The sequence below is a fragment of the Homo sapiens genome, chromosome 1 (assembly GCF_000001405.40).
Source record: "Homo sapiens chromosome 1, GRCh38.p14 Primary Assembly".
Classification (NCBI taxonomy): domain Eukaryota; kingdom Metazoa; phylum Chordata; class Mammalia; order Primates; family Hominidae; genus Homo; species Homo sapiens.
The window spans coordinates 65,519,313-65,545,378 of record NC_000001.11 but is presented as its reverse complement, the minus strand read 5'-3'; the positions used below and the strand labels follow the sequence as shown (position 1 = coordinate 65,545,378).

General features: G+C 38.9%; 1 protein-coding gene across 6 annotated transcripts in view; it reads right to left on the bottom strand.

Moving 5' to 3' along the window:
• The window catches only part of LEPR (leptin receptor), a 220,908-nt gene that overhangs the window by 96,181 nt on the left and 98,661 nt on the right, over positions 1–26,066 (bottom strand). For 2 of the 6 annotated variants that reach the window (NM_001198689.2, NM_001198687.2), the window contains exon 1: positions 19,561–19,728. The exons of 3 other annotated variants lie outside the window; for them this stretch is intronic. The gene's annotated coding sequence lies outside the window, so the exon portion shown is untranslated. Of the gene's footprint in view, positions 1–19,560; positions 19,729–26,066 lie in introns of those variants that run through there. One more of the 6 variants, NM_001198688.1, reaches the window with a different exon arrangement.

Sequence of the window (26,066 nt, the reverse complement as noted above, 5' to 3'; positions counted from 1 at the left end):
GCGATTCCTCAGGGATCTAGAACTAGAAATACCATTTGACCCCGCCATCCCATTACTGGGTGTATACCCAAAGGACTATAAATCATGCTGCTATAAAGACACATGCACACGTATGTTTATTGCGGCACTATTCACAATAGCAAAGACTTGGAACCAACCCAAATGTCCAACAATGATAGACTGGATTAAGAAAATGTGGCACATATACACCATGGAATACTATGCAGCCATAAAAAATGATGAGTTCATGTCCTTTGTAGGGACATGGATGAAACTGGAAATCATCATTCTCAGTAAACTATCGCAAGAACAAAAAACCAAACACCGCATATTCTCACTCATAGGTGGGAATTGAACAATGAGAACACATGGACACAGGAAGGGGAACATCACACTCTGGGGACTGTTGTGGGGTGGGGGGAGTGGGGAGGGATAGCATTAGGAGATATACCTAATGCTAAATGACGAGTTAATGGGTGCAGCACACCAGCATGGCACATGTATACATATGTAACTAACCTGCACATTGTGCACATGTACCCTAAAACTTAAAGTATAATAATAATAATAAATAAAATAAAATAAAATAAAGTTTATCAATGTTGTACCACGTATCAAAATTTCACCCCGTTTTAAGGCTGAATAATATTCTATTATATTTATATGCAAAAAAAAACCGCATGATTGTCTCAATAGATGCAGAAAAGGCCTTCGATAATATTCAACACTGCTTCATGCTAAAAACGCTCAATAAACTAGGTATTGATGGAACATATCTAAAAATAATAAGAGCTATTTATGACCCATAGCCAATATCATACTGAATGGGCAAAAGCTGGAAGCATTCCCTTTGAAAACTGGCACAAGACAAGAATGCCCTCTCTCACCACTCCTGTTCAACATAGTATTGGAAGTTCTAGCCAGGGAAATCAGGCAAGAGAAAGAAATTAAGGGTATTCAAATAGGAAGAGAGGAAATCAAATTGTCTCTGTTTGCAGAGGACATGATTGTGTATTTAGAAAACCCCATCGTCTCAGCCCAAAATCTCCTTAAGCTGATAAGCAACTTCAGCAAAGTCTCAGGATACAAAATCAATGTGTGAAAATCACAAGCATTCCTATACACCAATAATAGGCAAACAGAGCACCAAATCATGAGTGAACTCCCATTCACAATTGCTACAAAGAGAATAAAATACCTAATGACCTCTTCAAGGAAAACTACAAACCACTTCTCAAGGAAATAAGAGAGGACACAAACAAATGGAAAAACATTCCATGCACATGGATAGGAAGAATCAATATTGTGAAAACAGCTATACTGCCCAAAGTAATTTATAGATTCAGTGCTATCCCCATCAAGCCACCATTGACTTTCTTTAAAGAATTTTAAAAACTACTTTAAATTTCATATGGAACCAAAAGAGAGCCTGCACAGCCAAGACAATCCTAAGCAAAAAGAACAAAACTGGAGGCATCACACTAACTGACTTCAAACTATACTACAAGGCTACAGTAACCAAGACAGCATGGTACTGTACCAAAACAGATATATAGGCCAATGGAACCAAAAGAGGCCTCAGAAATAATGCCACACATCTACAACCATCTGATCTTTGACAATCCTGACAAAAACAAGCAATGGGGAAAGGATTCCCTATTTAATAAATGGTGTTGGGAAAGCTGGCTAGCCATATGCAGAAAACTGAGACTGGACCCCTTCTTTACAACTTATACAAAAATTAACTCAAGATGGATTAAAGACTTAAATGTAAGACCTAAACCCATAAAAGCCCTAGAAGAAAACCTAGGCAACACCATTCAGGGCATAGGCATGAGCAAAGTCTTCATGACTAAAACATCAAAAGCAATGGCAACAAAAGCCAAAATTGACAAATGGGATATAATTAAACTAAACAGCTCAGCTTCTGCACAGCAAAAGAAACTATCATCACAGTGAACAGGCAACCTACGGAATAGGAGAAAATTTTTGCAATCTAACCATCTGACAAAGGGCTAATATCCAGAATCTACAAAGAACTTAAACAAATTTATAAGAAAAAAACAAACAACCCCATCAAAAGGTGGGCAAAGGATATGAACAGACACTACTCAGAAGAAGACATTTATGTGTCCAACAAACATATGAAAAAAAAGCTCATCATCACTGGTCATTTGAGAAATGCAAATCAAAACAACAATGAGATACCATCTGATGTCAGTTAGAATGGCGATCATTAAAAATTCAGGAAACAAAAGATGCTGGAGAGGATGCGGAGAAATAGGAACGCTTTTACACTGTTGGTGGGAGTGTAAATTAGTTCAACCATTGTGGAAGACAGTATGACAATTCTTCAGGGATCTAGAACCAGAAATACCATTTGACCCAGCAATCCCATTACTGGGTATATACCCAAAGGATTATAAATCATTCTACTATAAAGACACATGCACACATGTTTATTGCAGCACTATTCACAACAGCAAAGACTTGGAACCAACCCAAATGGCCATCAATGATAGACTGGATAAAGAAAATGTGGCACATATACACCATGGAATACTATGCAGCCATAAAAAAGGATGAGTTCATATCCTTTGCAGGGACATGAATGAAGCTGGAAACCATCATTCTCAGCAAACTAACACAGGAACAGAAAACCAAACACTGCATGTTCTCACTCACAAGTGGGAGTTGAACAATGAGAACACATGGACACAGGGAGAGAAACATCACACACCAGGGCCTGTCGGGGGGTGGCTGGCTAGGGGAGGGATAGCACCAGGAGAAATATCTAATGTAGGTGACGGGTTGATGGGTGCAGCAAACCACCGTGGCATGTGTATACCTATGTAACAAACCTGCACATTCTGCACATGTATCACAGAACTTAAAGTACAATTTAAAAAAAAAAAAAGAATAGGCACAATGTTTCTCATCCATATTAGACTTCTGAAAAACAAGTATTTTAATATATTCTCTGGAACATCGTAAGTACTCATAAATAGTTGTTGAATCAATTAAAGTATATAATAAATAATTAATGTAGATATTTATTCTCACGTTTAAAAAGAAAAACAGCCCTTAGGAATTTAGAAAGAAATGAAAAGAAAAAAAAGCCTATGTTGAAATATACAAATATTTGAAGAAATCTGTATAAAGTATACAAAGACAAATCCACAGTCTGATCTAAATGATACATCCATGATGTATGGGTATGCAAGCAGTAATTTAATTTGCATAATATGCCCAGCACAGTAAGCATATTAATCATGCTTACTCTTCAGTTATTACTATGAAGAAAAAATCCAAATCTATATTCTACTGAATAAGCATAATTTGGGCTTTCAAAGGAAGATCAGACTGTTTAATTTCTATTGTAAAGGATTATTTGTGTTATTTTTACCTATCAAATTCTACTTAAATATAAAACAGAACAGTCTCAATCAGTGTTTGAGCAGAAATAAAATTATTTACAACTTGCTCCATTGATCTCAAAAAATCTCTGAGTGTGTAGGAAAGTTTATGAGTAAGAAAAGCAATTCTGACAATAATGTTGCTTTGATGAGTTAACTCAATGAGCTCCAAATGCCACTAATTTTTGCTTTTACTTTTTGTTAGAGAAGCATCTGTCTATCTCTCACTTAAATAAGCATTTAAACATTTAATTTAAATGCAACTGAAAAACACTATTTCTTCAAGTATCAAAAATTTAACAAAATAAATATAGCCTGATCTATTTCCAGTAGCCTTGTCATTTTAAGTATGTTAACTTTTATTTATTCACTTGGAATATAAATTGGTCATGTTATTCCCATCAAGTAGCTGTTAAAGACTTAAATTATTTTTTAATTAAAAAAAAAACCTTCCAACATCCTGGCATAAATATTTGTCACTTGGAAAACATAATTTCAAGTACTTTAATTCCTGATATTACTCTGTGTGAACTTGTCACATATTAATTCCTAAAAAATGCATAAGGATAAGCTATGATTCACAGATGTGGGTACCATAAAGTCAACAAAGTTGAGTCAGAGTAGGCATCTTACCTACGGTGTAATCTAAAAGCTCTACATAAATTGACTCATTTAAATATTAACCAGATATTCAATAAAATGCAAGCTACCACATGTGATGCTAGAAATGTAGAAAATAATTAAAATTTATTTACTTTAAGAAATAACATTTTATTAATTTTTTTACATGTCAAAGCACGATAATACCAGTGGGACTTCAGGTTCAAGATGGTAAACTGGGACTAGGCACGGTGGCTCATGCTTGTAATCCCAGCACTCTGGAACCCCAAGGCAGGCGGATCACTTGAGGCCAGGAGTTCGAGACCAGCCTGGAAAAACCCCATCTCTACTAAAAATATAAAAATTAGCCATGCATGGTGGCGTATGCCTGTAATCCCAGCTACTCAAGAGGCTGAGGCATGAGAATCGCTTGAGCCTGAAAGGCAGAGATTACAGTGAGCCAAAATTGCACCATTGTACTCTAGCCTGGGTGACAGAGTGAGATGCTGTCTCAAAAAAAAATGGTAAACTGAACAAACTGATCTTTCCCTCCTGAGATACCTTGAAAATTATAGTAAAGTAAATAATATCAACCCACTACAAGAGTGAATGAGAGAGCGATCAGCAGCAAAAGAGAAAAACAAATTTCTAAAACATTAGTGTGTTAGTCCATTCTTGCATTGTTAAAAAGGAATATCTGAGACTGGGTAATTTATAAAGAAAAGTGTTTTATTTTGGTTCATGGTCCTGTAGACTATAAAGGAAGCATGAGGCCAGCATCTGCTTCTGGTGAGGGCCTCAAGAAGCTTACAGTCATGGTGGAAAGTGAATGGGGAGCAGGTGCATCACATGGCAAGGGGGAGCAAGAGAGGGTGGAAGAAGATGCCAGGCTCCTTTAACAACCAGATCTTGCATGAACTCAGAGCAAGAACTCACTCATTACCACAGGGAGGGCACCAAGCCATTCGTGAGGGACCCACCCCATGACCCAAATATCTCCCACCAGGCCCCACCACCAACACTGGAGATTACATTTCAACGTGAGATTTGGAGGGGACAAATATCCAAACCATATCAATTAGCAAAGACTAATGAGGTATAACAAAGGTAGTAACTACATAGGATATTTGGAGAATAGGCTGTCAACAATGAGAAAACAAACCTGCAGATGTTCTAAATGATAAGGGCAGGAGGGTGAGGTGGGGCTAAAAGGAGAGGCCATTTTGGTCTGCACATGTAATATCTGCGTATGTAATTCACCTCCTCACAAACATTGCACAGCAGCTAAACTAGCTCCATGTAACTGTCAGGAGAGTGACTAACAAACAACTGAAATGAACTTTGACTAGTCTAAGCAGGAAAGAAATTTATTAAAGTTTACTGGGTAGCTCTCCGAACCTCAGTGAGTGCCAGAGAACCAAGCTAGAAAAGCACACAGCCAAGACCACACCCAAAATCCCATGCAGAATTGCTCTAGAGAAGACAGCCCTGCACCATACCAGGATACTGCATGTTATGACTGAAACCTCAATGCCTACTACCTCTGAGCTCCGGGGAGCTCATCTGCCCTTTCATGTCCCACACTTCTGATCTAAAATCTGGCACAAATGCCTCTAACTGATGGAGCCTACTTCACACTCTACAGGCAGACTGCCAGGAAGCTTGGGAAAACAGGGGCTTATTAAGTGGAAATTCCTCAAACACGAGCAAAGTATTCAAAGGTGTCAAATGGCCAAAGACAATTTAAAAATTATAGTATACACTCCTATGTGTTAAAGGAGGAAAAAGTACAAGTTGTTTGAGAACTTGAGCTTTTCATGTAAACTTGGCACCGGTATGGTAAAGCCCTGACATTTAGGCAACAGGCCTTTAGCATAAATGGCAGCTCTTTGATTGAGTGCCTAACATGAAGCCTATCAGTTGATAAAACACTGCCCATATGCACAGAAGTCACATTCTTCCTGTTTCTTCATTTAACAGCCATGCTGAATGGAGACACAAAGACATGAAGAAAGTCTTTAGCATTGTGTTAAATTTTTCTTTTATAAAAAGAAAGTAAAAAGGAAACTAACCACCAGGGACACAGGGATAAATTAAAGAAAAAAAAAAAAGCTTTAACAAATCTTTAATGAGTATTGGCAGAGACATTTCAGAAAGTTTTGGATCCATAAAATAACAAAGGAATAATGAGAGCAAGAAAGAGCTTTTGAAAATTACATGCATAGTACAAAAAAAAAATTTCAATGGTTTTAAAAAAAATGCATAATTAACATTTCCCCCCAAAGGCAAAAAAAAAAAACCAGGAAATAAATGTTTAAGAAAAAGAAGTCACTTAAAAATAAATCCAAGAGACCCAAATCCAACCAACAGTACTTCCAGAAAAAAAGAATAGAAAGGAGAAAATAATCACACAAAAAAAATACAAGAAAATTTCCCAGCGATAAAAGGCACAAGTGTTTCCAGAGATAAAAGGCACAAGAGATAAAAGGCACATTTCCCAGAGATAAAAGGCACAAGTGTTCAAAGTGAAAAATATGGCTACCAGGCTCCAAGAAAGAAGAATGGAAACAGATTCATTCCTAAACATATAATTAAGAAATTACCAAACAACAAAGAAAAAAAGAATATAAGAAAAGATTCCAGAGAAGAAAAAAATCACTAAAGGAGTAAGAAAGAGAATGGAAAACAAATGTTTCATCCCAAAACACCGAATACTAGAAAATAATCCAGCAACTGACTTATAGAAAATTCTTTTCAGTTTAGAATTTTACATCCAGTCAAAGAAGTATCCGAGAGAAACAAATATACTTTTAGTAATGTAATGGCTTACAAAATTTATATAGTATAAATTTATTTGCCAGAAGTAATTTTATAAAGTATTCCAGCAAAATGAGGAGAAAACCAAAAACGACAAAAACATACACATTCAGGAAATCGTGGTTACAAACAAGTTTGCTGGCTCTGCAAACTTTCAAATGACTAGTCCAGATAGCAGCTGTAGTATAGATGGCCCCCAAAAGGAGATGGCAAGGAGGAAGGTGGAGATGGAAGGCAACCTGACACATAATATAATCCTGAAGCCAGAAAAAAACTTGAAAATAAAATAAAAACAGAATAAACACCAGGGAAAAAGGAAGTCATAATTCAAAATTGAAGCCACTAGAATATGAGTCAGTGGACTTCAAAAAAAAAAGGAAGAAAATGCATTCAAAAAAATAAAGAAAGTAAAAAGCTGAAAATTATTAAGGATGAAACCAGGAAGGCCCACATATGCTTTCCCAATAAGAAAAAATAAAGGTAATTTGAAAAAGCGTCACAGAAATTCACAATGTAAATATGAATGAAAAGAAAATATGGCAAATTTTTAGCAAATGCTAGAATTAAATAATCCATTTGAAAGAAAGAATCTCCTTAACTTTGATTCTAGGAACATTCTTTGGGTGGCTCAGGAGCCATACTGAATGAAATGTAACTGTAGAATACTTCTTGATTCTGCAGTAAACAACATTTACAGGGTCATAATAACTTTAATGCTATTTATTAATTTTTCAACTTTTAGGGTCAACCAATAGACAAAAATACAAAATTTAATAACAAATACTAAACCTAAAATATTATCAATACTCTCACCACACAGTTGTCAGATTTAGGTGTTATAATATACAAGGAGAGATGGTGAGAGGAGAAAGGGTGAAATATCCCAAACTCATGAAGCAGGGGTTCAAGAGAAACTGTCTGTAGTTAATGGAACAAATATCGTGGTGGAAATGACAAATGTAACCAATAAAGGAGCTCATAAAATTAATATATGTGGAGGAGCAAAAAAGAAAAGGAGGTGAAATGAGTAGGCTAAATTATCTTCTACTATGGTATCTGCTTAAATGATAAATGAAAAAAAAAGAAAAGCAGACAGTATAAACATACAATTTAGCCCTAGAGGAAGAAGGACTAAAACCAGAAATGGTTCAAACTAGTTGTTCCTAGGGTCAGGTTATACCCTTTAGTGTAGGTAGTAGAGCAGAGGGCTACTGGTTTATACATAAGTAAGTTTTTTTTAACCATGTACATGGATTATTTTCACCCCAAATTATTACTTAGTTCCTTTCATTAAATAAAGTACTATGGGATTTCAGAGAAAATAGCTACTCACAAAGTCCTAGGGGCCAACGAAAGGTGAGATTTTTAGTTGAACTACAGGAAATACAAAGGAAGAGAGTAGTATTGTATGTCTTCTGTTTTAAGATTCACAACATTTTAACACCTCTGGCATCAGCATCATTGTTTAAATTTATAGCATCTTACAATTCCCGATGGCCTGGTAGCAGCTGTGATCTGGTTGTTATTGATTGCATACATCAAAACTGGACACTTTCTTAATGACCAACTGGACAATTTTAACCTATCAATATTTTGGTCAACAAACTATTTAAAGACCATTTGAGGAAAGAATATGAACTCCAAAAAACCCGATATTGACATCTTACAAGATCAGTTAAAAGCCGCATCAAAATTAGCAAAATGAACCAGCTTGGAAGAAAATCCCAGAAACAATAGTGAGGCATTCTTTTTTGAATTGCTGTATCACAAATATTCTTGATAGCCCAGAGTATGATACTGTTTGGGAAAATATTTACATCAACAGTTCTGAGATGAAAAGCAACTTGAAAAAAACAGACTTTGAATATGAATAAGAATCCCTTAACCGAAATCTTTGATTTATACTTTCCTTATGAGAATGGCATGATTTAAATAAAAATGTTTATATATATAATTCTTAGTGAGCTATCTGAATAAGTATAAATTTTTAAATGATAAAAAATACTGTATAATAGTTAAATACGCAGAGCTTTTTCTTTTTACTGATACAAAAATGATGGTTATCTTAATTCATTCATGTTGTAACAAAGGAAAACCTGAGACTGGGTAATTTATGAAGAAAAAAGGTTTCTTGGCTCATGGTTCCACAGGCGATACAAGAAGCATGGCACCGGCACCTGTACTGCATCTGGTGAGGGCCTCGAGTTGCTTCCACTCATAGTGCAGGCAAAGGAGAGGGGAAAGGAAGCCAGCATGCAGAGATCACATAGTGACAGCATGGAAGCAAGAGAGAGGAGGGACAAGCCAAGCTCTTTTTAAAAATCAGTGCTCACAGGAACTAATAGAGTAAGAACATGCTCATTACTGTGATGATGTCACCAAGCCACTCTTTGGGGATCTGCTCCATGACCTAAACACCTCCCACTTCAGGACTCACCTCTAACACTGGGAATCAAGTTTCAACATGAGATTTGGAGGGGACTATTATCCAAACTATATCAGTGGTGTAGCTTAAAAATCCATGCTGTCTTAGACTTAAAGAATCACAACTACCTAGAAAAAAGGGTAATTAGGAGAAATCAGAGTAATTACTTATGATTGGGAAATTATAAAAGATTCCATAGAGTGGACATTTAATTGTCCCTCAAAGATGCAGAGGAATATGAAGCACATTGTAAGTATTAATAAATGAGATTCCCACAGAACCTCTGGTCAGTAAAAACAAACATCAGCCAAAGAGCATCGGTAAATGCCAATAAGAACTCCTGCATAAGAATTGATTTGCAAGTTTAGAATCCTATTAATCAAAAGACCAAGAAGCCACTTACCTAAATTACTGTTTTTATAGATTGTTTCTTTGCATCCTGTTTGTTGTGTCAACAAAACTTTTCTCCCAGCCTGGCACGATGGTCCACACCTGTAATCCCTGCGCTTTGGGAGGCCAAAGCGGGAGGATCACTTGAGTTCAGGAGTTTGAGACCACCCTGTGTAACATAGCAAGACTTCGTCCCTACTAAAAATTTGAAAAAATTAGCCAGGTGTGGTAGCATGCAGTGGGGACACTGAGGCAGGAGGGTAGCTTGAACCCAGAGACTGAGGCTGCAATGAGCTATGATCATGCCACTGCACTTCAGCCTGGGTGATAGAGCGAGACACTGTCTTAAAAAAATATTTTCTCCCCCAAATCAGACCTATGACTAGCAGTGTTGTTGCAAGACACCACACTAGATAGTATCACCACACTAGATACCCAGCTACCTCCTGGATAGGTCTAATATGATAAGTATACCATAATTCTAAGAGATAACATCTTACTACTATAACAGCAACTACAATTAACAGGTGCTTATGTGTATGCCAGTATGTTTTCTCTCTGTGTTTATACACACACACACATGCACACACATGCATATAATATGTGTGTTTATCTATGTGTGTGTGTATGATTTATCATCTCTTTCATCTCCTAAACACAAACCACTTTGGTTCAGAAATTCTGTTGGTGTGCACAGAAATCTAATTGTTTGATTCTCTCATGTTCATAGCTTCTTAATTTGTATAGGTTTAGAGACCCAAATAACAGCGGCTAAAGTTACAATAAGAAAGTATAATTAATTCTGAGAAAAACTAAGTTGTCCTCCACCCTCACAAAACAGATAGTTGGTAACAGCTGTTCTTAAACATGAGTTTTTCACGTTTTTAAAGCCTATTATAATACCATTATAGAAGCACCTGAGACTCTCTATTTGGCTCAAACCTTTCAGCTGTTATCTAGTGAAAATAGATAAAACATTTATATGTCCCCACAAACTTTATAGACAGTATTGGTCCAAAGCTAGGGCACACTCACTCACTTTCACTTGTACTTATGTGCACTCACTCTCATTCATTCTCTTTCTCCCTCTCTCGGCACTCCTAATCTCTTTCGCCTTGCTCTAGTTTTTTTTCCATATACTTACTACCTTCTAGTATATGGTATAATTTACTCTATTAAGTTTATTGTTTGCACTCTGTTATGTCTTACAAGCACAGGGATGCTCATCTATTTTGTTCAGTATCTAGAATAATGCTTAGCCCCGAGTAAGCTCTCAATAAATATTTGAATAAATAAATGGAATTCAAGATGCTCACAATATATGGCAAGAGAGTATTAAATGAAGTTAAAGTAAGCTAAGGCCTCTGTATTTTCCTGTACTCATTAGTGCTCAAAGTGTATTCATTTTCAACTTCGATAACTTAAGGATTCATATGGTAACTTCCACAGTAGTTACTGAACAATAGAAATAGAGTGTATAACTCTTAAAGTAATGAAAGAAAATTTGAAGTGATAAAAATAATCAACCTAAAATGTGGCAATAAAAAAGAAAATAACCAGAATTATGGGCAAATAAAGAAAGCAGAAAGTAAATACAAGCCTCAATATATCAGTAATTGTATTAAATGTAAACTGACAAAATTCTCCAGTGGAAAGACATTGAATTTAAAATACCTTAAGAAATAAATGCTGTTTACTACAGACACATCTAAAACATAAGAATATAGAAAGGTTGAATGCAGAATGACAGAAAAATGATATAGGATACAGAGACACATTTAAAATAAGTATGTAGAAATCTGAAAGCAAAGGATGGAAAAAAGATTTAACATGCACATACGGAACAAAAGAAAGCTGGTGGAGTTATATCAATATCATACAAAATAGGCTTTAATGCAAAAAGAAACATTAGAAATCAAGAAGCTTACTCCAAATTGACTAAAGTTTCAATTAACCAGAAAAATACTTTTAAGTTAATAACTGGGCAAAAAGAAATATGAAAATCAGAACCTATTTTAAACTGATCTTAGTGAAAACAGTATCTCAAAATTTATTTCACACAGATAAAGAAGTATGTAGAAGGCAGCTCAAAGCCATAAATAATACTTTTCAAAAAGAAGAAAGGCTGAAAATTAATGTGCTATCATTCCTTTATAATCTGTTAGAATAAAACATTTAATCGAACATTCACTTAAGCAGTTAGAACAGAAAAAATCAAAGAAAGTAGAAGGGAAAAAGAAATAATAAAGAAACATTGTCTTGATTACTACAGATTTAAAACGAGTCTTGCTATCCGATAGCACAAATTCTCCCATTTTGCATCTTTTTCAAGAGTGCTTTAGCATTCTTTGGGTTTTGACTTTCCATATACATCTTAGAATCAGCTTGTCAAGTTCTAAAAAAATTGTTAGGAATTTAATAGAGATCCTATTGAGACTGTTTTGAGTCTATAACAATGAAAAGGAAATTGATATCCTTTAATCATTCAGTCCTAAAATGTATGACTATCTGTCTCCATATACTGAGTTCTTCCCTAATATGAGATGTAAATCTCATCTAATTTTTTCCATAAAAGTCCCTGAACATCTTGTTAGATGTTTTTCACAGGAACTTCATGTTTTTGGAATCATTTTAAATGATGCATTTCTAAAATATTTCATTTTCTGTTTCTTGATGGCATATAGAAATATACTTTATTTTTAAAGTATTTTTTAAAATATCAGTTTTATTGGTCTATTATTCATATATCATAAAGTTCACTCTTTTATAGCATACAATTCACTAGGTTTAGTACATTGAGTGAATGTATCTAACAGAGCAATCATCACCACTGTCTAATTTCAAAATATTATCATCACCCCACAATGCACCTCTTCCTCATTAGCAGTCGCTCCCCTTTCACCAGCTTCCTCCATCCCCGGCAACCACTGATCTGCTTTCTGTGTTTATGGACTTGCCTATTCTGGACAGTTCATATAAATAAAATCCTGGGGTCTTTAGTAACTGGCTTCCTTCTGTTAGCATCATGTTTTCAAGGATCATCGTGTTGAAGCATTTATCAGCACTTCATTCCCTTTTATTGCCTAATAATATTCCATTGTATGGATATACCTCAGTTTGTTTATCCATTCATCAGTGTATGGACATTTGGGCAGTTTCTGTTTTTTGGTTATTATGAAGAATGTTGCCACTGACACTTCTGTACAACTTTTTGTGTGGATGTATATTTTCATCCATCTTAGGTATATGCCTAGGAATAGAATTACTGGGTCATATTACCATATGACTATCTTAAACACTTACGTTTAGCATTTGAAAATAATTCATGTCACTTTCAGATGGAAGCATTTGAAGATGGCTCACGAGTATCCATCCCTGCTGTCTTTTCCCCTACCACACCAAATGGGAAAGTTCCATGTTCCAGATTGTTACAGTTACAGAATGATGGAGTTTCCCTGAACTTAGACCTCCAAGTTATTACATGGAGAAGTTGCCCCAGAGAGTTGTCTTAGTCCATAGGAGACTTTGCATCAGTGAAGAACTGCATTAAGCCCATGAGATTTGAAGATTATCTGTTACTGCAGCATAACCTAACCTATCCTCACAGACACCAGGCTTAATCTCACCAGTAATTAAAGTAGTAACTATTAATGAGATAATACCCATCAGATGGCGAAAAATTAAATGTTCTGGCAATACGAAGTTTGTCCATCTGGTGTAGAGCAATAAAAACAGGAATGCAAATTGGTGAATCCACACTAAAAATGTGTGGCATTCATTATCTAATAAAGTTGAAGTCTGCAAGTCCTGCTAGCCCGTAATTTGTCTATTGGTTTTACGCTCTAAAGAAACTTCGTATACTAGCACACTTGTAGATGGATCATAGCTGCTTTATTTATAGTGGCAAAAAAGAAGGAAGGGAGGAAGGCAGGAAGGAAGAAGTGATGGGTGAGGGAAGAAGAAAGGAAGGAAACTAAATGTGCATAATCAGAATTCATGTTTTAAATTAACGTGTTATATTTATAGAATTGAATATATCCAGGAATAAAAATGAACAAACAATAGCATTCAATCACCAAAAAAAGCATTGAGCACCTCTTACATGTTAGGCCCTATTTCACACACTAGGGACACAACAGTGAGCAAAACAGGACAAAATTCTGCCCTTGTGGAGTTCACATTCTAGTGGAAATGGGACAGAAAAAAAAAAGATAATTAGAAAGTCACACAGTATTTTATAAGGTAAAATAATGCTATAGGGAGACACAAAGGAGAGGAGAGGAGAAGAGAGGAAAGGAAAGGAAAGGAGGAAAGGAAAGGAAAGGAAAGGAAAAAGAATATATTACAAGGTAAGAAGATATGGAATTTTAAATACTGTAATCAGAGTAGGCCTCATTGAAAAGGAGACATTTGAACGAAGACTTAAAAGAAGTGACAGTAACAAAGCGAACCATGTGGAAATCTGGAGGACAAGCATTCAAGGCAGGAAAAGCTAAAATGAAAAGATGGTTTCTAATATAGTCAAGAAATAGCAAGGAGCCCAGTGTGGCTGGAACTGAGTAAAGTGAAAGGAAGAACAGTAGGAAATGAGACCAGACAGGTAAAGTGGCAAGCAGAATGATCAGGTAGGGCCTTGGAGGTTATCCTAAGGACTTTGGTTTTTACTCTGTGTGAACCAGAAATCCATGGAGAGTTTGGAGGAGAAAAGTGACATGATCCGACATGCATTATAAAAGGAGTGCTCTGATTGCTATTTTGAGAATGTATTGAAGAGGGCAAAAAATAAAAGCAGGGAGACCAGTTTGGAGGTCCTTGCAATAACTCACGTGAGAGTTGATGGCACCTTGTACTAGGGTGGGAGCTGTCAGAGGCGTCTGAACCAGAGCAACTCCATCTTGAGTAGGGGCTGGGTAAAATGAGGCTGAGACCTACTGGGCTGCATTCCCAAACAGTTAAGACATTCTAAGTCACAGGATGAGATAGGAGGTCAGGACAAGATACAGGTCATAAAGATCTTGCTGATAAAACAGGTTGCAGTAAAAAAGATGGCCAAAACCCACCAAAATCAAGATGATGACGAGAGTGACGTCTGGTTGTCCCCACTACTACACTCCCACCAGCGCCATGAAAGTTTACAAATGCCATGGCAATGTCAGGAAGTTACCCAATATGGTCTAAAAAGGGGAGGCATGAATAATCCACCCCGTGTTCAGCATATCATCAAGAAATAGCCATAAAAATGGGCAACCAGCAGACCTTGGGGCTGCTCTATGGAGTAGCCATTCTTTTATTCCTTCACTTTCCAAATAAACTTGTTTTCACTTTACTCTACCTAATTGCCCTGAATTCTTTCTTGCATGAGATCCAAGAACCCTCTCTTGGGGTCTGGATTGGGACCCCTTTCCTGTAACAGAGCCATGGAAGTAATGAGAAGTCATTATATTCTGGATTTGTTTTGAAGATAGAGCACAGAGAATTCCCCAACACATTACAAACGAGGTATGAGAGAATAGGAGGAATCGAAGATGACTCCAAGGTTTGGGGCCTAACTAACTTGAAAGATGGAGATGAGGAAGACTGCAGATAGTGCAGGTTTGGGAAAGATGAAGATTCCATGTGGAGAATTTGAACTGGAGATGCCTACTAGACATCCAAATGGAAATGCTCAGTAGACAGCTGGAATATAAAGATCTGAAGTCCAGAGGGAGCAGTCAAGGCTTGAGCTATCACTTTCGGAATCATCAACACACACACATAGAGAGATTGCATGAAATCATCAAAAAGCATGGAGAAAAAAGAGCTAAACCTTAAGGTATTCCAAGGTTAAAACCTCTAAGAAAAGAGGAGAGGCTAGCACAGGAGACAGAAAGGAGCAGCCAGTGAAGAAGGAGGAAAATCAAGAATGCATGGTGTCCTGGAAGTCAGTAAGGGACTGTTTCAAGGAGCAGAGTAATAACCGTGACAATGCTACCAGTAGTGAAGTAAAATGAACACTGACAACTGACTACTGGATGAGCAAAGGTAGTATCATTGGTGAACTTGACAGTAGTAGACCTTGACGTAGTTTTAGCAGAATATTGAAAACAAGATTAATAGGAATGAGTTTTTTTTAACAGTGTGAAGAGAATAATTGGAGACAGGGAATAGAGACAATCCTCCCTCCCTCCCTCCCTCCCTCCCTTCCTCCCTTCCTTCCTTTCTTTTTCTTTTTGAGACAGAGTCTCACTCGTCTCCCAGGCTGGAGTGCAGTGGTGCGATCTTGGCTCACTGCAACCTCCGTCTCCCAGGTTCAAGCAATTCTCTGCCTCAGCCTCCGGAGTAGCTGGGATTACAGGCGCCTGCCACCAGGTCTGGATAAATTTTTTTATATTTTTAGTAGAGATGGGATTTCACCATCTTGGCCAAGCTGGTCTTGAACTCCTGACCTTGTGATCCACCCGTCTCAGCCTCCGAAAATGCTAGGATTACAGGCGTGAGGCACCATGCCCAGCCGAGATAACTCTTTCAAAAAATATTGTTTTAAAGGAGAGAGAAGAAATCCCTTAATCTCATAAACATAATGTTAAGCAAAATAATCTATGATTTAATGCCTACCATAATCATATAAAACTTTTTTTGGGCCAGGCATGATGGCTCACACCTGTAATCCCAGCACTTTGGGAGGCCGAAGTGGGCAGATCATGAGGTCAGGAGATTGAGACCATCCTGGCTAACACGGTGAAACCCCATCTCTACTAAAAATACAAAAAAAAAAAAAAAATAGCCAGGTGTGGAGGCACACGCCTGTAATCCCAGATACTTGGGAGGCTGAGGCAGGAGAATCGCTTGAACCTGGGAGGCGGAGGTTGCAGTGAGCTGGGATCGAGCCATTGCACTCCAACCTGGGCGACAGAGCAAGACACCGTCTCAAAATAAATAAGTAAATAACTTTCTTTTTTTAAAAAAAGGTAAATTAGATTTGTGATGAAGAAGGAACAAACAAGAAGTTTTGGGATATTTGCAATGTTCTTTTTTTGGGGGTGGTGAATAATGAGAAATTTGCCTTACAATTATTATAATGATTTATCATATTATCTGTCAACCATTAAATTTGTTTTATATGCTTCTCTCTATATTCATTACAGTTCAAATGTTTTAAAGATTTTATTTATATTTATATAAGATTTGTAGTTTTAAAATATTTTAAATATTAATAAGATTATGTGTGATGATAACAGGTAATATCACTATTAAGTCACAAAAAGTATTAAATCAGCCTGGGCAACATAGCAAGACTCCAAAAAACATGTTTGAGAAGGAATATTCCAAACTATAAGCAGATCGTATTTGAAGAGCAACTCCAAAAGGTTGTACATACTGAGTGTGGCCAGTAGGTGAACATTTGCAACTTTCTAATTTAATTAAAACTGGAATTTGTAAATCACATAAAGTCTTAAGAATTAGAGCAGACTATAAGCCTTTTTCTTCATTTTTAACTCCACAGGACATACTCTTTAAGTGGGTGTGTTTGGCTCTCAGTATGAAAAATGCAGTACAATATCTGCCAAGAGAGTTCTTTTTTTTTTTTTTCTGGATACTTTTAGTATTTATTTCCAAGACCTCCCAGAAATATTGCACTTCACAAATACACACCATTTGTTCCTATAATAGTGATCTAAGTGTGAAGAGATTACTTTTTTCTCAGTAAATTGCTGAGAGAGTAAGTCCCCACATTACAAAGGAGGAACAGAGCCTCTGCCACCCATGATGACACTCCCAAGCCATGAATGAGTTGGCTGTGGACCGTGAGCTGTTGGATCCATCCAGTTTCAGTTGTTTTCCAAATGACTTAGCAACCAGGGTATATTTGAGTTCTACGATTCCCTGTTCACTCAACAAGCAATTTACTTACATCTCTGAGCATCTGTTTCAACGGAGATGACTATCTCTACTTCACCAGAGAATATGAGGGAAGATAAATGCCTGAGTAACTTACGACATTTCCAGCCCAAAGGCAAAAAGTCACTGAAAATAAGTTAAAATGTACTCATAAAAGAGTACTTCAAATCCATTTCACTCTCCCAAACTGCATACAAAGTACATGTGGGTGAGAAAAGATTGTTTTATTATTTTGAATCCAAGCCACCGAAAAGAGGCAGAAATATTCTTAAACCTGTCCTTACTAGTGATAACTAAGTTTCAAATAATCTTGAAAATGCTACTGATAAAACATTAGAAGTAGCAACAAAAGCTACTGTAACATTCTCTGTCTGCTAAAACAACCCGACATTTTCTTCTAATCAAAAAGAAAGTATGAAGTACACTAACCCTTCACAGTACATACTCACTGTAGACACTTTTGTGTGTGCGTGTGTCCATTCCTAATTTCTGGTTTATCTGTTTAGTTAATCTCTGCTATTTTCTGGGATTCATTCCAAGGCAACTAACTGCATTACTAAAATTGGCATCTCTGCTATTGTGCTTAATTTCACAGCGGCTCAGAAGTGACCTGAAACCAATTTTTTAACATTCTGCCCACAACTTTATGCTAAAAAGTAGCCAGCACTGTTCAAGAACAATAATTGATAGGAAAGGTGCAATGTTTGTTTTCCTTCAAACACATTTTTATTTCCTCCAGATGTACAATACTTAAAGAGAATACGTGCTATGCTAAAGCCATGTATTTTTGTTGCAGTGTTGCAAATACTGGCTTAAAGATTATTTAAGGTAGTATGAGAGGTGTAAATATTCATATAAATCTATATGTTTCTGAGCTCTTTATACATGTTTTTCTCTATACCTTTTGGTGGGAAAATCCTAAAAGCCTAAGTCATAAATGCATATAAACTAGTGCCAAGATTAATACAGATTGTTTTTATTTCATGAAATTATGAAACTAGCAATGTTTGTAACAAGTTAAAGAGAGTTAAGGAATTATACTTTTTTATTCTGGGGCATACCTTAGATATTCTCAAAAGGCCCTCAGAAATTATCTTAATCCAACCCTCCAACTTGAAAAAATGAGGAAACTGAGGCCCACTGAGGTTAAACGAACCACAGTGTCATAGGTAATAAAATGGAAATCACACCAAAACTCAGATTTTCTGATTCCAATTCCAGAGCCGTGAAAGGGTATTTGTTTCAATATACTTTAATACTTACAGAAATAAATGTTAACAGAGGACACCCCAGGCCACCCTTCAGTATAAAGAACTCCATTAGGCTGACAAGAGCCCAGAATTCTAATCTGTTTGCAAACACAAGTTCTAGAAATAACACCAGAAAGAACCAGTTTTTAAATGGCACCATACCTGCGGTTCCCAAATGATTCCTCAGTTGGGTCTCTTTTTCTCACCACTACAAATCTCTTTCAGTAAGTGGTTTGGTTAGGATTGGGTTTGGGGTTTTGCTGCTGATGCTGCTACTGTTGTTGTTTAATTTGCTTGCAGGGAAGGGGGGAGGTGGGAAACAAAAGCTGAGGTCTAAACCATCCCTACAGAACAATTATTTTTTCTCTTGTCATTCGAACCAGCAAATTCTCTTCAGGACCCCAGGGTTTACTGTTTTAGGTGGCAGTCCCTTCAGTTTCCAAAGTAGGCACGAAGCCTGGAAAAGAAGTTGGCCGGGTGGCATGCTCTCTCGGTGGTCCCGAGCAGGTTCGCTCCAGGCGCTGCCGGCTGCTGTCAGCCGTGTGTCCAGATCTTCCTCGCCCCACGGGAGCCGAGAGTCGCCCGGCGTCGCACCCACCCCACCCCCGCCGCCCGCCGGGCGCTGGCCCCTCTGGTGGTCCCGCTAAGCTGCCCCGGACTCCCAGTCCCTAAGCGGCCCGCGGGGCTCCGCGTCTGCCACGCGCGTCCCAAAGCCCCATTCTCGAGTTACCCAGAGCGGGAAGAGGTGGCAATAGGGGGTGTCGGAGAGGGAAGCAGGTCCCACCTTGATCCGGGGGTCCAACTCGACCGAAGGCAGAGATGGCGGCGGCGCCGGGGCTCGGGCACCTGCGTCGCGCGCGCTCGGCTGGCCGTGGGCTCTGCGATGGGGCCGCTCCGAACTCCTCGCCCAAGGTGCGGGGCAACTCTCAGGAGAGGAGGAGGGCAGCCGAGTGCGTGGGGAGGTGGGGCTGAGCAGGAGCAGGCTGGGGTGGGGAGAAGGGAGGGAAGAGTCGGGTGGCCGCCCGCGTGCGCCCCGCGCCCTCCGCAGCCGCCCCTGAGCGGGAGGAGCGGACTCGAGCGGCTAGGGCGGTCGCGCAGGTGGCGGGGGCGGCGGCGGGGAATGCCGCTGCGGGTGGCCGCGGGCCTGCGGGAGGAGAGACCCGGCGCTGGGGAGGGAGGACCCCTGCCCGCAGGGAGGCCGAGAGCCCAGGCGAACTCAGCAAGCACGCGGTGCCGCGAGTTCCCTGGCAGTACCCCCCCACCCCGGACCCGCGTCGGTGACCGCAGGCTTGAGATAGGCACTGGGGTTCCCCCGTCCCTCCCACCCCCAGACTTCCAGAACTCTGCAGCAGCAGTTGTGTAAAATGCTACAATTAAGGTTGCAATAACTGGGAGGAGTGGGAAAAGAAAGCTAAATGGAAAAGATCAAAACTAGTGAGGTCATGAGTTTCCTGATACCAGGGATGCTTCCGCCAGCATCTTCGTCATGCTTATCAGGAAGGCTGAAGAGGGCATTCGCGCATCTGGTGGGTGGGGGTGTTTGGAGGGGATTGAGCTATATGACCACCACTCTTTCAATCCTGAAATTCAATGATGTTTGACGTAGCAAAATTTTTTTTGAAAGTACTCTTGAACAGTCTGATTCCAACTCCAAAGTAAATAGACATTTTCCGGCCCTCCACTCAAAATGTTCACTCATTATTTGTCTATGTATTAAATGCGTCTTTATTGAGGAGTGTCAGACAATATGCTAGGTGCAGTTATAGAGTTCCTTGAATTTAGAGTTAGGGGTGGGAGGACAGACAGATAAGCATGTATTCATACAATTACCATCAGCGCTGGGTGATATGGAAGAAATCAACAGGGTAAGGGAGAAAGAATGAAGCGTAGTGGACATTCTCTAGATTGGATGGATGGCTAATTTTTAAAGGCCTCTACTTAATTTGACTAACGGCCTCATAGGAAGAAGCATTCCAGGCACACAGGGAAAGTGAGTTGCGGGAAGTAGCCCAGAGATGGGTAGGCCAGAAGCGACGACTCCCGGCTCCCTGGCCCAGCTGCTGTGCATTATGGAAGGAACCTTGCTATAACTTCGCAAATGGAGCTTCTCCTTCATAGGAATCGCCTCTCAGAACGAGTGTCACTTTTTTGAATAGCACTTGGATCTCCAGACCAGTTGTTGAAGCCACTTTATTCAGAAGTGTCATATTTGTGTACTAAATGGGCTTTCAGCACTATCTGTGGTAGGCGAAAAATAACCCAGAAACACTAACCCTTGGATTTCCACCAAATCTCAACAGACAGACAGGTGTCTCTATTGGATGGAGACAAAAATTGAGGTAGGTTTCTGCAGACTATTTAGAAAACAAAACAATACAAAAAGAGCCTTTAATTAAATAATCAGTACGAACTAACATATTAGTTTCCTAGGTCTGCTGTAACAAATTACCACAAACTTAATGCTCAAACAGAGATGTATTCTCTCACTGCTCTGGAGACTAAAATTCCAAAATCAAGGTGTCAGCAGGTGTGTACTGGCTCCCAAGGCTCTATGAGAAAATCCTTCCTTGCCTCTGGTGGCTTCAGGAATTCTTTGGCTTGTGGCCACGTAACTCCAGTCTCTGCCTTCATCTTCACTTGCCTTCTCCTCTGTGTCTGTGCCCTCTTCTCTTCTTTTTGTTGTAAAGGACATTTGTCTTTGGATTTAGGGACCAACCAGATAATTCAGGATGGTCTCATCTCGAGATTCTTAACGTAGTTACATCTGCAAAGACCCTTTTTCCAAATAAGGTCACATTCACAGGTTACAGGAATTAGGATGTGGGCATTTTTGGTGGGAAGTCACTATTTAACCCACTATAACTAGTAAACTAATAGAGATCAAAATCATTGCCTACTGTGGTATCGGGTGTCATTCCAGCATCATTATTTGAAATTGTATTGGCACTAAATATAATTAATTATTTCATTGTGAACTACTAAAAATAAGTATCGCCGGGCATGGTGGCTCATGCCTGTAATCCCAGCACTTTGGGAGACTGAAGTGGGCAGACTACTTGAGCCCAGGAGTTCAAGACCAGCCTGACCAACATGGTGAAACCCCATCTCCATTAAAAATACAAAAATTAGCTGGGTGTGGTGGTGCACACCTGTAATCTCAGCTACTTGGGGGCCTGAGGCAAGAGAATCGGTTGAATCCAGGAGGCAGAGGTTGCATTGAACCGAGATCACACCACTGCACTCCAGCCTTGGTGACAGTGAGACTCCGTCTCAAAAAAGTAAATAAATAATAAAAAATAAAAATAAGTATCATTAAACCTGGGCATTTTGAAGAATAACTGCCCTGTAGGAAACAAGTACAAAGGCTCAAACCCTCAACTTGTGTTTGAGTTTCAGGCAATACTTGAAGGTCAAGCATGGCACCTCACAAGTGACCATTGTTACAGAAATGCATCCTAAATGCATCTGTATAGATTTCTGATAATGTGCCAATACTGTGCTCCGAGTGAGAAGGTCCTTATAGAATTTACATTCTAGGCTAGGAGACACCTTTGAATCTCATTTCACCTGGCACAATATTGGGTACATACCTGAAGCCTGATAAAGAACTGTGAATGAATACATGAGTAAATACCAAGCAGCTAAGCAAATTATTACTACGGTGAAAAACATCTCTACAATGAGAAGATAGAATTTACTAGAGCAAAGCAGATTAGCACCCTGACTCATTCAGTATTTTTTTTGAGAGAAGGAAAAAAAAAAAACCCTAAAAGGAAAGCTTTGATGTGAAAAGGAAATTAATGAGATCACCTATCTTCTCTTTTGAAAAAAAATCAATACTATGCCCACTTACACAGATACAGATCCTGCTGGGAACAATGAATCATGACTGAAATTATAGTTACTTAAATCAGGAGAAATATTTTATCCAAGTATTTTAGTTGTTAGTTTCAAAAACATAAATATTGCCCAACTATTAAGTTGAGAATATTGATACGCCACTTCTTGAAACTCTTTACGAATAATGATTTGAATGACTCCGTTTTCTTTCCGGCTCAACTGTTTTCTCTTTGACTTTCCTTCTTACTCTTCCACTCTTACAATTTTAAGCAATCAACCTATATCTTAATAACTACCAAGCTGGGTCTTATTCATTGACTTACATGGGTTACAGGCCCATCCCCGCACCAGTCGTGTGGCCAGAGAGTTGGAATATGATGACTGCCCAAGTAAATGGGAAAATGGTAAACCTGGAAACTATTTTCCAAGTAAACCTGGAAAATGGGGGATATGAGGAGGGTGAGTCTTAACCTAACCAAATTACTGAGGGCAGGGAGAAAGTGGAACCCCAAAATAAAATTAGGGTGCTTTTACTGATGGGGAAGTTGACAAAGAAAAGCACATATATCCACTACAATAGACACTCAGAAAAGCTTGTGGTTGAACTGACTGTAGTTTTAAATAAAACAGTGACTCGCTTTGGCCATGATACCCTAAATGTCTTTTGGAAAGTTTTTCAGTATAAAATAATAATTATAACTATGATTATATGTCTAATTACCACACAGATCTTAAAAATTTGCATTCAAAAATGCATATAAAAGCCTTCCGAGTAGCTGGGATTACAGGTGTCCACCACTACACCCACGTAATTTTTGTATTTTTAGTAGAGACGGGGTTTCACAATGTTGACCAGGCTGGTCTCAAACTCCTGACGTCAATTGATCCGCCCGCCTCAACCTCCCAAAGTGCTGGGATTACAGGTGTGAGCCACCGTGCCCAGCCAGCAATAGACTATTTAAATAGTACCAATGCCATTTCCAGCCAAAAGAAATTTATATTTAATGTACATGAAACTTTTAAGTCCTCATGGAAAAACAATTTACAACTTGTAAGTTGTAACTGCTAATTCAAGAACTATTGTGTTCAATGAGCCAATGATATGGAACTATTTCTATTTTGATTCCTAACATGTCTCTGAGAATAAGTCCCTTTAAAACCTAAATGTTCAAGTGAAAATAAATTATTGTGTTATGTGAGGTGGCAGCTTTGGTTAATGGAATAAGTGATAGAAGACACCGTGACAGTCTTTTTGATGTATCAGTATGGCTAGGCTGCAGTCCCCAATTACATAATCAAACACTAATCCAGGAGTCGCTAGATGTCATTAAAGTCCATAATCAGTTGACTGTACATGCAAGAGATTATCCTAGATAATCATGGTGGGCCTGGTTCTGTCAGGCCTTTGAGTCAGATGGCTGTTTTAAGGGTTTTCGATCAGACAAAAGGCCTTAACCCTTTTTCCATTTAGAAAAAGAAAAGTGCAGCTCACTGCCAGCGCTCATTTAATTTTCATTAGACACATTCTTTGAGGCTGAAGCAAATCTGACTGATTTTCAATGTGAAAATAAAATATAAAAACTGTTCTTGGAGTTATTTCTAAACAGAGCTAACACCAGAATCATCGGAATCGTCTGTTACGGAAAAATCAGGTTAATCAAATGAATCTTTGGCCAACAACTGTTGGGAACAGGCCCCCAAATCTGGCCATAAACTGGCCCCAAAACTGGCCATAAGCAAAATCTCTGCAGCACTGTGACATGTTTGTGATAGCCATGACACCCATGCTGAAGGTTGTGGGTTTACCGGAATGAGAGCAAGGAACACCTGGCCCACCCAGGGCCAAAAACCACTTAAAGGCGTTCTTAAACCACAAGCAATAGCATGAGCGATCTGTGCCTTAAGGACATATTCATGCTGCAGATAACTAGCCCAACCCATCCCTTTACTTCAGCCAATCCCTTTATTTCCCATAAGAAATGCTTTTAGTTAATCTATAATCTATAGAAACAATGCTTATCACTGGCTTGCTGTCAATAAGTATGTGGGTAAATCTCTGTTCGAGGTTCTCAGCTCTGAAGGCTGAGACCCCTGATTTTCCACTCCACATGCAATATTTCTGTGTGTGTGTCTTTAATTCTTCTAGCGCCGCTGGGTTAGGGTCTCCCCAGCCGAGCTGGTCTTGGCAAACAACTCTTCAATAATGATGTTAACATCATTCATAGGAATGCCACATTTTCTAGGATTTGACATTTTCAGGGATTGAGAATTACTATATTTTGTAAATGGAAATATCACTACTAAAAACAGAATGTGATCAATAGAGTGATGTCTTTTGTTTCTGAAGTCAATATACCAGAGGGATGCGAAAATAATAATAAAAGCATATTTCTTGGCAAAGTTATCTTGGGGTAAATGCTACAGCTACAGACGCCACTGGTGGGTATTCTCTGGGCAAACCGGTTAAGTCCAGGCATGGTGGCTCACTCCTGTAATCCCAACACTTTGGGAGTCCAAGGCAGGAGCATCACTTAAGGCCTAGGAGTTCAAGACCAGCCTGGGCATCATAGCAAGACCCTATATTTAAAAAACATTTTTTTGGCCAGGTGCTGTGGCTCATGCCTGTAATCTCAGCACTTTGGGAGGCCAAGGCTGGCAGATCACGAGGTCAGGAGATCGAGACCATTCTGGCTAACACGGTGAAACCCCGTCTCTACTTAAAATACAAAAAATTAGCCGGGCGTGGTGGCAGGCCCCTGTAGTCCCAGCTACTTGGGAGGCTGAGGCAGGAGAATGGCATGAACCCAGGAGGTGGAGGTTGCAGTGAGCTGAGATCATGCCACTCACTCCAGCCTGGGCAACAGAGCGAGACTCCATCTCAAAAAACAAAAACAAAACAAAACAAAAAAAACATTTTTTTTTGTAAATTAGCCAGGCTTGGTGGGGCAGACCTGTAATTTTAGCTATTTGGGAGGCTGAGGTGTGAGGATTGCTCAAACTCAAAAGTCAAGGCTGCAGTGAGCTGTGATCACACCACTGTACTTCTAGCCTGGGCGACAGATCAAGACCTTCTCACTTCCTTCTGAGGAAGTAGAGTTGTTAGAATCCATATTTCTACTAAAAGTCTGCTAAGTTAGAAAGTTAGAAGGCTATCTTAAACAGACTTTTAGTAGAAATATGGATGTTAACAACTCTGCTTCTTCAGAAGGAAGTGAGAAGCAAGGTAGAGAAAAATATATATTACCCTAGAGAATACCTAAATCATTATTAACAGGCTATTGATAGAAATACGGACATGAAAGTGGCTGCTGGAGACCAGGCACAGTGGCTCACACCTGTGATCCCAGCATTTTAGGAAGCTCAGGCAGGTGGATCACTTGAGCCCAGGGGTTTGAGACCAGCATGGGCAACATGGCAAAACCCAGTCTCTACTGAAAATACAAAAATTAG